The sequence below is a fragment of the Homo sapiens genome, chromosome 1, assembly GCF_000001405.40.
Source record: "Homo sapiens chromosome 1, GRCh38.p14 Primary Assembly".
NCBI classification, from domain to species: Eukaryota; Metazoa; Chordata; class Mammalia; order Primates; family Hominidae; genus Homo; species Homo sapiens.
Genome location: NC_000001.11, coordinates 18875099 through 18889328, shown reverse-complemented (window position 1 = coordinate 18889328; position 14230 = coordinate 18875099). Strand labels below are relative to the sequence as shown.

Genomic DNA, 14230 nt, shown 5'->3' with positions numbered 1-14230 from the left:
CCCCTGAATATGTGACCTCTTTCTCTGACAGCTCGTAAGCTTATAATGTGTGGGCTCTGACTTCAAGGCCTTTATAGTGCCCCTCCCCACCCCAGATTTTGAATTCTGTGGACCAGTAAAACTCCCAAAGCAAAGGACGGCACCCACACTGCATCCAGCCCATAGCGGCATCCTGTGTCTGGGCAAGAAAGGCCATGAGGGGGCCACACAGCATCTTCTGTTATTCCTCATAGATTTCTTGCCAAGGGGGTTTGGGAGCTAATGACAAAAAGCTGGGCCCCGGGCCCCGAGCACCTCAGATGGCATTGGCCTAAGAAGCCCCCATGCTTGGAGTTTATCCATCCAGAAACTGGCATGCACTTTACGTGGGCCAGGAAACTCATAGGTCTGTGATTTGAGGGAGAATAAAAGGTCAGCCCTTTTGCAAACAGGGCAAGCACATTCTGGCTCTGTCCGGCTGAAACCCTGGGCAGACGTGTGCAGGGGGAGGGGTGACTGAGGGGGAGGACCCAGGTCCCCCACTCTGAAGGTTCCCAGGACAGCCTGGGGCAGGAGTTGACCACAGCAGTGTCCTGGAGCTCTAGTTGCTGGGTCAGGACTACCTGGAGCTGTCCAAGCATGGCCTGGGGTCTGCAGGCATTGGCCAGGTCACTCTGTCTGTCACTGGGTGTGTGTGCAGGTGCCAGCTGACAGCAGCACCTGCCACCCAGCTCCCTGGTTGTCTCTGTAGCTGCCTAGAGCTTGCCCTCACCTGTAGCTCCGCAGGCGTCTGAGGCTGCATGGCAGCTGGGATTTTTCCAGGCAGCGAGGCTCCGGCATTCTGATAAGCCCCTGGGTGGATACTGCTGATTTTCATTTCCCACATTGCCTTGCCGACCTGGCTGGAGATTCTGGCCATGTGCTGATCACTGTGGCACGAGACATTTGGGGTTCTGGGGCATGTGAGGGCAGGATCTATGTTTGCCGGGACATAGTGCTGACGGGGTTCTGCAGTCCACTGGGGCCCAGGTCGCAGCCACCTTCTCTGCCCTTAAGCATCACAGGCCAATCTCAGGTGTGGCCCGAATACAGAGTGACTGTGCCAAGCTTTAACATGAAGGAGAATGGTCACTTTCTACTCAAGCCTAGACCAGCGCCGGCCAGTAGAATTTCCTGCAGTGAGGACAGAAATGTTCCAGATCTGCATTGTCCGTTCCAGCGGCCATGAGCCGCCACGTGTGGTTGTTGAGCATGTGAAATGTGGCTCGTGGCTACTCTTTTAGACAGGAAAGCTCCAATAACCCACCAGAAGACGGATAGGTAGCAAAAGTGTCAGCTATTACGATATAAACTATCTTGCCAGCCCTAGGAAGGAAAGAAGTGAAATTTCTCCCTGCTTCATTGGTCATGCTAGCGTTCACCACTGCCGGGCATTAGGTTTTGAAGGGAAGACAGGGGTTAAAGAAAGACACACACACAGAGAGAGGGCAGCTGAAACAGCAACACCAGTATATTGCAGAAACCTGAGGAAGTGGGGGACCAGCTTAATGCCAGGGCCCACCGCTGCTTACAGGCTGAGGTACTCATCGGTATGGGTGAGACGGGTCTGGGCAGTATGGCTTGCTGCCTGGCAGGATATTGATAAGATGTTGTTATGATCAGGTGGTTTGGCCCTCTCCGGTGGGATGTCATCGTGGTGTTCCTTGTACCTTTACCCAGCAAGATATGATAGGGATGGTTTTTTTTTTTCTGAGACGGAGTCTCGCTCTGTCGCCCAGGCTGGAGTGCAGTGGTGCGATCTCGGCTCACTGCAAGCTCCGCCTCCCAGGTTCATGCCATTCTCCTGCCTCAGCCTCCCCAGTAGCTGGGATTACAGGCATCCGCCACCACGCCCAGCTAATTTTTTGTATTTTTAGTAGAGAGAGGGTTTCACCATGTTAGCCAGGATGGTCTCGATCTCCTGACCTTGTGATCCGCCCGCCTTGGCCTCCCAAAGTGCTGGGATCACAGGTGTGAGCCACCGCGCCCGGCCAACAGGGAAGTTTCTTTAGGTGGGCCTTCGTCCGCCTTGCGGTCAGGCGGCTGAGCCGGATGGTTCTCATGGCCTGAGCTCCTGTGAAATGTTTCACTTGGCCCGAGGTCTGCAAAATAGCGGGGAGCTGACAAAATGGTGCGGTTTGGACCAACACCAGGTTGTGTTTATAAATGTTTGTTGAGGATCTTCCTATTTAGATTAGTAAATCTGGGGCTTAGGAAACAATTGCTCTGTCCATGATGGCTTCGGGGCAGGGCGGAAGTCCCAAGCATGTCACAACACCGGTGCATTCTTTTGGGCCTCACCTGGTTTTGTTGCCCATAGTCGCAGCCTCATACTGGACCAAAGAATTTTCATCCATGATCCCCTTTGGTTCTCCTGTCCATGCTAAGAGACAGGGAGGGCAGTCCCCATTTCCTAGATGAAGAGACTTAGGGAAGGAAGTGAGCTTACCTGGGGCCCCACAGCTAGTAGGTGGCAGAGCCAGGATTCGAACCCATGTCTCTCTGACCACAAAGGTCCGTGCTTTCCTGGAAAGACCCTGGGGTCTATGCCTTTCTCCTGGACTCTGAGCCTTCTGGAGAAGGAGCCATGTCTTACTCATGGTATAGCGGGTACACCAGCACCCTTAACAGGGAGCAACCTGTGGGCCGGGCACTGGGGAGGGTTTCATGGGAGCGGGGGAGGGGGGACAGCAGGCGTGTCCAGGACTTTCCTGGAAAACCGGCTCTGAGTCCAGTCCTCTTCATCCTTATCCTGGCACCTCCCTCCCGGGCAAGGACCTCACTCTTCTCTCCTTTCAGCCTTTTAACCATGGACATAAGGTGGCCAAGTTCTGTTATGCAGACAAGGTGAGTGAGCCTGTGTGCCTGGTGACCCGGGGTTAGGGTTGCTGCCCCTGCTCTGCCCTGCCAGCTGCTGATATGGCGGGGGCAGGGGGCATCAGTTGCTGTGTCCTTCTTTGGCCATGGTGGGTAGGTGGGCAGGGGGTGGCTGACACTGAGGGAGTCCCTGGGTGATGTCTTTGACTGGGCCAGGCATACAAAGGTTAACTTGAGCCAAACACAAGCTGCCTCAGCCAGGGCTGAGACATTCCCAGACATGCCCATTGTGGTGGGGCAGACCTTGGACTGGGGAGGAGGTGGATTCTGGAAGGCTGAGTCAGGGCAATTGGAGACACCATTGATGGAAAGCTAGGCCAAGAATTGGCACTGGAAAGGGCCAGCAGGAGGGGCTGGGGTGGCTGGGGGTCCAGGAACTGGCATTGTGTGGCGATGAGGGCAGTTGGGGTCTGGGAGGCCAGCAGCAGAGCCGTGTCTCAGGCTCCAGTTGACCTCAAGTTTCTGGATGGTGGGTTAAGGGGCACCAGGTCCCAAGAATAAGGTAAGGTTTTGATTAGACCATGAGAGAAAGTGGAGCCAGTGTAACAGCTGCGGGACTCAGTGCCAAGGCCTCGGAGAGCTGACCAACCTGGCCGGGCCCTTCAGGCTTCAGACTGGCAGCCACTACAGGCTCTGATGGGACGCTGTTGTTGGCAGCTATGGTGGCAGGGGGCTGAGGGCCCAGGGAGACAGGCATTGTCCCCGGATGGAAGAGAGTGGCCTCCCAGGTCTCTCCTCCCTCGCTCACTCCCCAGGGCCTTTCCCGCTGCAGGTGGCAGTCCCCAACCTCTCCCTCTCCCTTTAGAGCCTGCTCAACAAAGCCATTGAGGCTGCCCTGGCTGCCCGGAAAGAGTGGGACCTGAAGCCTATTGCAGACCGGGCCCAGATCTTCCTGAAGGCGGCAGACATGCTGAGTGGGCCGCGCAGGGCTGAGATCCTCGCCAAGACCATGGTGGGACAGGTGAGGTGCTGGTGGGCCCGGGTGGGTGGGGCGGGGTGGGGTGGGAGTCAGGTGTGCCCTACCCATGGCAGCAGACATCAGCTGAAGCGCTTCTGGGTCCTAAGCCCTTTTGGGGACCCAGAGATGTCCTCAAGGGACAAGGCCTAGGAGCTGGGATGGATGATCACAGATTATTAGGCGAGACAGATTGTGCAGAGCCCATGTGTCCTGCCTCGGAAATGTCCCCTCTCCTCCATCCCTCTGTCCTCGCTCCTAGGCCTTTGTCATGCTTTGCCTGGACTGGTGGTGGCCTGCACTGTCTCCCTGCCTCCTAGCTTGGTCAGCCCCTCGCCGCCCTCAGAGTGGTCTTTCCAACACCTCCAGGATGTTACTCCTGGCTTATGACCCACCCAGACCTCTCCACCACTGAGAGGCAAGTCCCAAGACCTGAGCCCCATACCCAGGGCCCTTCTGCCCACCTCTGTCCAGCTCGCCCACTGCTCTGCATTTCCCTGCCAAGCTGTCCTGCCCATAGTGTAGCCATTTGGCACTTAGCAGGACTCCCCGGCCATGGCAGGCATCCTCTCTGCCTCTGCCCACGTGTCCTCCTGCCTGGAATGCCTGCTGTCTCTTCCGTGCTCAGTGAACTCTTACCTCCTGGTCCAGCCCAGATGTCACCCCCTCCGTGAGACTTCCTGAGCCTTCTCCAGCCGAAAGGACTATTCCTGCCTCTGTTTCCCCAGAGCATGTTGTTCCTGCATCAGTTACAGCTCAGATTGCACTGGAGTGTATTGAGTTCCTAGGTACTGCCCCTTTACAAGCTTTTTGGACATAGTAAACATGTCTTGACATTCTCGGTCTTTTTCTGGGCTTTGCATGATACCTTTCAGGAGGCATAGCAAGCCCCTGATCAATGGTTTTCTCTGCACAGAGCTGGCATGACAGCTCCTCACCCTGCTAAATGCAAGTTGAGTGAGGAGTGGCTCTAGCAGGCAGAGTGTGCGGGGGACAGGAGTCGAGGGAGAAAGGGTTATTTCACCACCTCCAGGACCTGAGCCCTACGCTGCCAACTAACCTGGGTTCCTGAAGGGTAAATTGCAGGAGCCAGAACCCAGGCTGCTTTCTGGATCAGGCATTTGCCACTGCCTGCTCCTCGGTCCCCATGGTGAGCGCCCCCTCTGCTGCACAGAGCTGGTATGACAGCCCCTCAGCCTGCTAAATGCCTTCTTAGATTGGCTCAGCAGCCCTCTGGGGTGGGCGTCAGCTCTGCGTGTTCCTGGTGAGCCGCACGTTGCTGGGAAGACAGTCTAGGATCAGTTTAGGCTTTCTCTGTATTTGGCCTAAGACTCAGGAACTTCTAGGAAGCAAGGTACACATCTTAGCTCAGCTTCATGGGCTGTGTGTCTCTAATAGGTCGTGCACCTGCCAGTGACCTTGGGTGCCAAGAGGAGGCCACGTCAATCTGGAAAAGCCCCGTTCTTGGCTGTCCACAGTTCTTTTCCCTGCAGCTCACATTTGCTGTTATTAAGAATTGACGGTTTAAGGGAATCACAGTCACTCGCCTCTTGGTTTTTGGCCCAAACTAACCAGCAAGGCCGAACATCATTCCTGGGGAAGGAGCCATCCACCTCCCACACACCGAGTCTCTCTCCTGGTTTTCCAGTGACCAATCTCCAGCTCATGCTAATCTGCCCTTCTGTCTGGAAGGCTCTGATCCTGAATTTAGTCTGAGGCTTGACCATAGATCCTTTGCCATGCACCACCATTCAGAGTTGCTATGAAATGAAGACAGTGCATGGCAAGTACCTGGCCTGCTACAGAGGATCACTAAAATTCTTCTGATCCCCGTCCAGCCCAGAGGGCCGGCTACAGGAGGTGCTAGCTCAGGGGCTTGAGAATCCTTTCCCCCTCAGCCCCTGGGATGGGACCTGGTGAGCCCTCCAAATGTTTCCTGGTCCCTCCTGGGGCCCGGCTCAGTGCTCGCTTTGGGCACAGCGTCAGATGTGAGAAGAGGATGGACAGGAGGCTGTTGGCTGCTCCTGACCCCCGGCCCTCTGCCTTGCAGGGTAAGACCGTGATCCAAGCGGAGATTGACGCTGCAGCGGAACTCATCGACTTCTTCCGGTTCAATGCCAAGTATGCGGTGGAGCTGGAGGGGCAGCAGCCCATCAGCGTGCCCCCGAGCACCAACAGCACGGTGTACCGGGGTCTGGAGGTACCTGCAGGAGGCAGTGGGCGAGCAGGCGGGGCAGCCCAATGCCATGGGCCTGATCTCACCGCTGCCTCCTTCCCCAGGGCTTCGTGGCGGCCATCTCGCCCTTTAACTTCACTGCAATCGGCGGCAACCTGGCGGGGGCACCGGCCCTGATGGTGAGATGTGGGCACAGGTGGGACAGCGGCAGCTGGTTGTCCTCCTGGTCCCAACAGACAGACAGAGGCCACCCTGAGCCCCTTGGGTCTCAGCCTAGTCATGGGGAGAGGCACAGAAGGTGGAGGCAGCTTGGGGCTGTGGGTAGGCTTTGGGACCAGAGACCCAGTTTGAATCCCAGCGTCGTGCCTCTCTGCCTGGGAGACCCTGGCAATCCCTGAACTTCTCTGAGGCACAGTTTCCTCATCTGCAAAGTGGAAATAATAGGAAAGCCTCCATGACTGGGTTGTGAGGCTCAAATGAGACACATCCAGCAGCAGGCAGGGCTGGCCCGGAGCTGGCTGAGTGTTGGTGGCTCTGTTGATGATCATTACCGCTGACCTTCAGTGCTCACCACGTGCCTGCTGCTGTCAAGCACGGCATGGAGATGATCTCATTTCATCCTCTCAGCAGCTTCGAGAGGGAGTTGTGACTCTGCCTCTTTGCCAGATGACAAAACTGAGACACACAGCCGTGACTTACTTGGCAAGACTGAGTGACTAGTAAATAAATGATGGAGCAGAGAAAGATTTGGATGTAGTCTCTCTCGGGGTTGATGGTATTCAAGTCACTCCTCTGCCATTATCGGAGTGAGGTTGGCTATTACTGGATGAAGTCCCAGGCCTGTGGGGGAGGTGCAGCCCAGCTCCCAGACAGCCTGGGTGGGAGAGGTCCACATAGTTGTCGGGAACCCCGAGCCCCAGACAGGGGCACTGGATGCTGATGCCGGAGTGTGTACTAGGGACATGGATGGGGACGTCCTCATGCATCTGTGCACAGACAAACACGGTGCATGGCCAGGCGCCCACGTGCCTGGCTGCTGCACATGCCTGACCCAGGACATGTGCTGAGAGAGCCCGTGTGTACTTGCCCCGCCGCGCCCGGTGAGCACTCAGTGACTCTAGCAGTAAGAACAGACCTGCCTAGGTGATGGCAGGACCGGTTGGTGCAGGCTTCTGGGGAAAGGGAGCCTTGGCCAGAGCGTGGGGCAGATTGGGCTGTGCCGTGGCCTCCTTGGCAGGGACTTTTGGAGATAGGGCCAGACGCCTTGGAGGAGTGGGGTCGGGTAGGGGATGTCCTGGTTGGCACAGAGTCTGGTGGTTCCAGGTGAGGGACAACCATGCTGTAGGGTAGGGTGGGGTGGGGGTTGGGGGCTGGTGGCGCCATCCTCATGCATCACTGAAACACCTCCCGGGCAGGGCAACGTGGTCCTATGGAAGCCCAGTGACACTGCCATGCTGGCCAGCTATGCTGTCTACCGCATCCTTCGGGAGGCTGGCCTGCCCCCCAACATCATCCAGTTTGTGCCAGCTGATGGGCCCCTATTTGGGGACACTGTCACCAGCTCAGAGCACCTCTGTGGCATCAACTTCACAGGCAGTGTGCCGTAAGTCCCTGGGGATGGTGTAGGCTGTGGTGGCTAGGGGACGTTCACCTGCTCACCTGCTGTCTGCCTGGGGATGGGGCTGTGAACCCAGGGGTCATGCACGGACTCTACTCCCTTACTTGCTGTGTGGCTATGAGTGAGCCACTTCACCTCTCTGAGCTTCCATTTCTTCACCTGTACAGGGAGTGATTATCCTTAATTTGCAGAGTCATTGCAAGGATTAAACATGTTAATGAACAGGAAAGAGCTTCGCAGACTGGAAGTGCACCCTACAGCTGTGGGTAATATTGATTTCAGTGCTACCTCTGCTACTGGAAAGGGCACAGGGGAGCACAGAATGAACTGGAGGAGTCAGGAAGCCTTCCTGGAGGAGGTGACATCTAAGCAGAGGAGTTGGCCAGGCAGAGGGGAAGAGGCAGGAGAAGAATATATATGTTGGGAGAGGGAATAGCACATACAATGTTGCCAAGCCAAAAACTTGTGCTCTGGGGCATGGCAGGATCCTGTGTGGCTGGAGTGTGGAGTTTGGGGGCGACAGGGCAAGAGAGTGAGGGCAGGGCATGGTTTGAGTTGAGGTAGGGGAGGCAGGCCACTACCTGATCTCGACCATCCATGCACTCACTGGCTGAGCAGGAAATTTGGAGCTCACACTAAGGCTCAGTGGTGAGCACACACCAGGGACAAGGTCCCGGCTCTCAGGCTGGAGGTGGCGGCAGGGAGTGGTTCAGTGACCATAAGATACTTAGGAGTCTGCAAAGGTGTCTGGCCTTTATCCTGAAGGTGATGGGAGCCATGGAAGGCTTCAAGCAGGGAGAGTGGCTGAGTCAGAGTTCTGTGTCAGGCAGAGATTGCAAATAATGGCCCCCAAATTGGATCTGGCAAGAGGCTCTACTTTCTTTGACTCCTAACAGTGATGGCCCAACTTTGTATAATTGGGACAATTTCATAGATAAATCCAAATATTGGCCTGTCTTGGTCCCCTGGACCTGGATGCTCTGATCTTGCATTTCCTGGTGGTACCACTGGCTGGAAGTGGGTGGGTGCCCTCTGGCTCCCTGCATACCTGATCCACGCTGTTTCCTTTCCCTGCTGGCTCCTCTGGGCCCCTGTGTTGGCACCCTCATTCTCAGTGATCTCTCTGTGACCTGATGCAGGAGACTGGCCAGGGACTGTTGACCTCCAGGGAGGGGTGGTAGGGGCTTGAACCAGGGGAGAGATGGGGGATGTGGAGAAGGGGGCAGGTTCAGGTGAGAAGGATGCAGGGAGGCACAGTGGCCATTGCCTGTCCTGGAGTTGGGGTTGGGGTGCGTGTGGGGATGAGGGGGGTTGTCAGCGAGAATGTTCAAGATGGGCACCTGGGAGGGCGAGCGGGCTCGGGGGAAGATGAATCTCCTGTTGGTCACTTCGGGTGTTATCTGGGTGGAGATGCCTGGAGGCAGCCAGACGCCCGGGTCTGCAGCTCAGGGTCCTTCTTACCTCCTCTTCCAGGCCCCAGGCTCTGCCACCCCCTTCCCCGCAGCTTTGCTGGGGGTGGGAGTGGGTGGTGGCAGCGTTAGAACTGCTGAGAAGGGCCGTTTTCCAAAAGGCCTGCTCTGCCAGCCACGGGCCCCTGGGCTCCCCGCCTATCAGCGGGCGGAGCGGGCCTGGACCCCATTCTCCACGCTCTGATGAGCAGCGGGCTTAAAGGTGGGAAGGCCATAAATTAGTATTAGCTACTGTGTCGCTGGCTCCCGGGTGATTAGCATTTTTATTGTTTTGTGGTGCTGAGGTTGGTCACACTTGGAGCCTGGGGAGGAGGCGAGGCCCTCCAGGGTGGTGGCTTCGGGCGGGGCCTGAGCTCCCTCTCCCAGGACTCTCCTCGGTTTGGCCTCTCAGGCCTGGGCGCTGGGCTTGGGGGGGATCCTTCGCAGACCACAGCGGGGTCTGTTCCCTGCCAGGTACCTGCAGTGTGCCCAGCATGTCTTAAGCACATGCCTCACACTTGAACTCATCACAAAACAACCCTGCCAGGTCAGGATTGTTCTCCCTGTTTCCCAGATGAGGTGCAGAATTCGAGGCTCAGAGAGGTTAAGTAATGAACCCAGGATCACACAGCCCTTAGTGTCCTCCTGGCTGCAGAACATGGACCTCCTCTGCAGCATCTTGCTGCCTAGCCCCCCGTTGCCCGCTCCCCGTAGTCTTGGAATGCAGCCTGTTCCCAGCCGCCATCCCCGACTTGGCTCCCACCTCCTGCTGGGCTGCCCCCGGCAATGCTCCTCCCTGGGCTTTTCCGCCCCCTTCCTCTGGCCTGGCTCCCTGAACCCCACCCTTTCTCCTGTGGTTCCAGCACCTTCAAACACCTGTGGAAGCAGGTGGCCCAGAACCTGGACCGGTTCCACACCTTCCCACGCCTGGCTGGAGGTAAGGCCTGCCTCACCTCCTCCTCCCGTGTGGCCCCAGGGACCCCTCCCCTGGCCATTATGAAAGAGGAGGGAGGTAGAGGGGATCCAGCCACAAGTCAGGTGGATGAACCATTTCAGGCACCAGCACTGCCCAGTAGAACTTTTTGTGATGAGGGATGCGTCCAGTACCTTCACTCTCCAATATGCAGCCACCAGCCACACATGGCCATGGAGCCCTTGAAGGGTGGCCTGTGCGACTGAGGAACTGCATTATCTAGTTTTCTTTCATTTTAATTAAGTTAAATCTTAGTAGCCAGTCGTGGCTGGTGGCTGCCGTGTCGGGCATTGCAGCTGTAAGCGGAGGCAAGTGCAAATGCAGAGACCAGAAGTGGGAATGAACTTGTATTTGAAGAAACAAAGCAAGGCCCATGAGTAGGGAGGGAGGAGGGCTGGTAGGAGAAGACGGGCTGAGACGTAGGCAGGGCTGGACCTTGTTGGCATATTAAAGTTTTCCCACAAAGAAACAGTTTCATGGTCAAGGAAATTTGGCATGTGTGGTGTTAAAGCAAAATGGACTCCTCCCGTGCAGAACTTCTCAGAGCCTTGAATGCTCTAATACGCATGGCACATCTTCAAGGACAAGGTCTGCCATGTAGTGTTTCCCACACGCATTGGGCCATGGAACCCCGTTTCTGCAAAGACCCCCATGGACCAAGTGTTTTGTGGAGCACATTTTGGGAATGTGCTGAGGCCTAGAGGGAGGGAGAGTTGCAGCCAGCACGTGACCAGCAGAGCTGGGACCGGTGGTCCAGCATGTTTCTCTGTGGCGTGAATTGGGGCCCACTGGGGAGTCTGGACCCTGTTCCTGGACTGGTGGGAGTTCGGATGGGGGTGTCAGGGAAGGTGAGCGCTCCTCAGGGTCAGCTGTGTGGCTTTCTGCTCTCAGAGCCTCCTTCCCTGCCTCCCTGAGGGAGAGAGGCCGCTGGTTACCACTTTCCAACCTGGAGCAGGTGACTTCATCTCTCTGTGCCTCAGTTTTCTTGGCTTGAAATTGGGGATAGTAATGGGAGGTTGTTGTGAGGCTTTGGTCAGACAAAGCACAGCGTACTTCGTCCAGAGTTGGGCAGCTGTTAAGTGCTTTCAGCTGCTGTTAGCTGCTGCTTCCCACGGAGGGAGGAAACTGAGGCCGGGAGAGTGAAGTGACCTGTCTGAAGCTCCCTCCCACTGGGGAAATGGGGGAGCGGTTTCCAGCACGCGTGGGGAGGAGGGGCCCAACCCTGGCAGCCGACATAGGGTAGGCTCCAATGTCCCTCGTGGACGAGGGCTCAGGAGAACCTCACAAAAAGCTGTGCCCACTTCTGGGAATGGCTGGCTCTCGGGGGCCTTGGGTTCTCATCTGTCCTCTGCTGTTGTGTTGGGTAGTTTCAGTTTTCCCATCAGTGTAATGGGGCTGTTGGACCTGATCACCTCTGATGCCCTTCACCCCTCCCTGGGCCTCAGTTTCCTCATCTGTGGAGTGGGAGAATGGGCCTGGCCCGTGGGTCTCTGGGATGTTGGCCAGCGCTCACTCTGAGCCTCCGCCCGCTCTGGGCTGCTCCGTGCTCGTGTTGGTCCCGGGCCATGGATGGCGTAGGTGGTGTTTTGGGCCCCTGGGCAACCGGGGGAGCCAGCTCCTCTGGTCATTTCCCCACCCCCGACCCCTGTAGAGTGCGGCGGAAAGAACTTCCACTTCGTGCACCGCTCGGCCGACGTGGAGAGCGTGGTGAGCGGGACCCTCCGCTCAGCCTTCGAGTACGGTGGCCAGAAGTGTTCCGCGTGCTCGCGTCTCTACGTGCCGCACTCGCTGTGGCCGCAGATCAAAGGGCGGCTGCTGGAGGAGCACAGTCGGATCAAAGTGGGCGACGTGAGTGGCACCGTCACCCCCGCCGCGGCCCAGCGGGGGGCTGATGGGATTGGGTCCCTGGGAGGCTCCTCTGCAGCCGGGGCTGGGGTGTGCGGGGAGGGGTCTCCCTTGGTCTCGGCCTGCAGTGACTCGTCTCTTCTGGCGCCTCCCTTGCCTCCAGCCTGCAGAGGATTTTGGGACCTTCTTCTCTGCAGTGATTGATGCCAAGGTACGGGGTGGGAAGTGGGCGTTCCTGGGTGGGGGCAAGCCCTGGAGTGGGTGGAAGAGGGAGGAAGAGATACAGGGTACCCTGACCCAGGGCATGACCCAGCCCCACTGCTTTGATCAAGGCAGCTCAGCAGCCACACACGCACCTCCAGCTTCAGAAAGGGCAGAATCAGCCGTAGCCAGACAAGAGCTCATCTTGCGGCCACCCTGGAACCAGGCTCAGCGAGCTCCTAATAGCATTTGCATGAGTGCATGTACACGTGTGTTTGTGAATGTGTTCATATAGGGCTCCGTGTGGCTCCACATGTAGGTCTTTCCATATAAACACGTACATATCCATTTGCACATAAGCACACACACGCATATGTCGATAAGTCCACCCACACGCATGTACATGGAGAAGGCATGCAGATCCCTACATGCTTAGACATGTGACCATGCATATGCCTATATATGCATTGATTGATGTGTGTCTGTGTTTATATGCGAGTGCACCTGTAGTACTAACACACGTACACTTGTGTGTGTACACACACACACACACACAGTGTTCATGTCTGTCCTTGTCTCTGCTGTGGCTCAGCCAGACCCTGGCTTTTGCCCTTGGCGTCCCCTACCCCTGCCCCTGTTTCAGGAGTTGGGCCCTTCAGGTGCAGGTGTTTCGGGGTGAGTGTGTTGTGGGGGCTGCCGCAGGGATGCCTTCCCAGCCTCTTAGACCTCCCTCCTCCCTGCCCACCCCAGTCCTTTGCCCGTATCAAGAAGTGGCTGGAGCACGCACGCTCCTCACCCAGCCTCACCATCCTGGCCGGGGGCAAGTGTGATGACTCCGTGGGCTACTTTGTGGAGCCCTGCATCGTGGAGAGCAAGGACCCTCAGGAGCCCATCATGAAGGAGGTGACTGGGGTGGGCAGCCTGGGGTCCAGAGGAGGACAATCCCACCGGAGCACAGCACACACACAGTTCTCCTGGAGACATTCTCCCATTTCACAGATGAGGCCCTAAAGGGAGACCCTAAAAGGGAATGCCTCCGACCGGGAGAGAGTAGAGCCAGGTTTTGAGCTCAGGCTGCCTAACTCCAAATCCGGGGCTGTGTCCTTGACCCTGGCTGGGGTCTGAGCATTTCCAGTGCCCTCAGCAACCACGTCCACTGCAGCCATCATAATGGCTGACACTGATAGACTTTTACTGTGGGGCCAGCTGTGGCTGAGCACTTGGCTGAGATGACGTGGGTGTTACTGTTCCCATTTTACAGATGAGAAACTGAGGTCAAGGCACTTGCCCAAGTTGGTAGTGCAGGGCTGGAGTGTGCCTGAGAAGATCTTCCCCCCAGCCCCTTGGTGGCAGAGGGAACCATGAACCCTTCTGGAGGGAATGGTATCTCTGGGCAACTCTCATGCCAGCTGCTGCTGGAAGCCTCTGGGACCTGGACCCTTAGTTCTCCGGGTGTGGGTTTGGCAGGGAGAGCCAGAAAATGTTTGCATCTTTTGCCGGCTTGTGGTGGGATGGACAGGACAGGGAGCTGGGCACGTTGCTGTCCTGGAGGGAACCCAGGAGGAGGCGACACCTGACCCTTCTTGCAGACACTGAAGTGTAAACTGAGGCCCAGGGACTGGGGAGAGGGTGAGCCAGAGCAGGGGCACTGGGAGGGCTCAGGGCCCTGGTCCCTGGTCCCGTGGAGGGTCTGACGCCGGGGCCTCTCTCCTAGGAGATCTTCGGGCCTGTACTGTCTGTGTACGTCTACCCGGATGACAAGTACAAGGAGACGCTGCAGCTGGTTGACAGCACCACCAGCTATGGCCTCACGGGGGCAGTGTTCTCCCAGGATAAGTGAGTGGCCAGGCCGCAGCCCTGGTGCTGTGCTCCGGGTGTCCTGTCCGTGTCCCCATCCCCACCTCCTGGACGTGGTTCCCAGTAATAATGCTGCCCCTACCTTCTCTCTGTCCCCTCCCCTCAGCCCAGACAGGCAGCCAGGGCTCGCCACATGGGCCCACAGCAGCAGGCTCTTTGTTGCCGGTACTGGTGGTGCCGGTGCCAGGGTGCCACTGGGGACCAGTGGATCTGAACCTCTAGGGGCAGGGCTAGGAATTGGTGTCTTCGACTGGCTCTGCGG

General features: G+C 57.3%; 1 protein-coding gene and 1 non-coding gene across 5 annotated transcripts in view, besides 5 other annotated features; both read left to right on the top strand.

Annotated features, from left to right (window-relative positions):
* ALDH4A1 (aldehyde dehydrogenase 4 family member A1) overlaps positions 1 to 14230 on the top strand; it is a 31126-nt gene that overhangs the window by 13227 nt on the left and 3669 nt on the right. For 3 of the 4 annotated variants that reach the window (NM_170726.3, NM_003748.4, NM_001161504.2), the window contains exons 4-13: positions 2818 to 2865; positions 3701 to 3856; positions 5901 to 6050; positions 6131 to 6205; positions 7442 to 7629; positions 9956 to 10029; positions 11717 to 11913; positions 12074 to 12121; positions 12862 to 13014; positions 13826 to 13947. In NM_170726.3, coding sequence (NP_733844.1) covers positions 2818 to 2865; positions 3701 to 3856; positions 5901 to 6050; positions 6131 to 6205; positions 7442 to 7629; positions 9956 to 10029; positions 11717 to 11913; positions 12074 to 12121; positions 12862 to 13014; positions 13826 to 13947 — 1211 coding nt within the window. The remainder of the gene's footprint in view (positions 1 to 2817; positions 2866 to 3700; positions 3857 to 5900; positions 6051 to 6130; positions 6206 to 7441; positions 7630 to 9955; positions 10030 to 11716; positions 11914 to 12073; positions 12122 to 12861; positions 13015 to 13825; positions 13948 to 14230) is intronic. The other variant, NM_001319218.2, reaches the window with a different exon arrangement.
* Positions 4969 to 5200: a silencer, noted in NCBI's record as "fragment chr1:19210623-19210854 (GRCh37/hg19 assembly coordinates)". NCBI's record gives its function as "represses an EF-1alpha promoter that drives an FKBP-Casp9 reporter gene in an ReSE screen in K562 erythroleukemia cells {active_cell/tissue: K562}" and the evidence as "EXISTENCE:reporter gene assay evidence [ECO:0000049][PMID:32094911]".
* MIR4695 (microRNA 4695) lies at positions 6054 to 6127 on the top strand. Its single transcript, NR_039844.2, has one exon. It is a non-coding gene; the product is annotated as a microRNA 4695 (primary transcript).
* Positions 13433 to 13932: an enhancer, noted in NCBI's record as "H3K4me1 hESC enhancer chr1:19201891-19202390 (GRCh37/hg19 assembly coordinates)". NCBI's record gives its function as "activates a minimal SCP1, AML or CMV promoter by ChIP-STARR-seq in primed H9 embryonic stem cells {active_cell/tissue: H9 hESC(primed)}" and the evidence as "EXISTENCE:reporter gene assay evidence [ECO:0000049][PMID:30033119]".
* Positions 13433 to 14034: a biological region, named in NCBI's record as "Sharpr-MPRA regulatory region 7483".
* Positions 13740 to 14034: an enhancer, noted in NCBI's record as "tiled region #7483; HepG2 Activating DNase unmatched - State 25:Art". NCBI's record gives its function as "activates a minimal TATA promoter and a strong SV40 promoter by Sharpr-MPRA in HepG2 cells {active_cell/tissue: HepG2}" and the evidence as "EXISTENCE:reporter gene assay evidence [ECO:0000049][PMID:27701403]".
* Positions 13848 to 13937: a silencer, noted in NCBI's record as "silent region_345". NCBI's record gives its function as "represses an Ori minimal core promoter by ATAC-STARR-seq in GM12878 lymphoblastoid cells {active_cell/tissue: GM12878}" and the evidence as "EXISTENCE:reporter gene assay evidence [ECO:0000049][PMID:35858748]".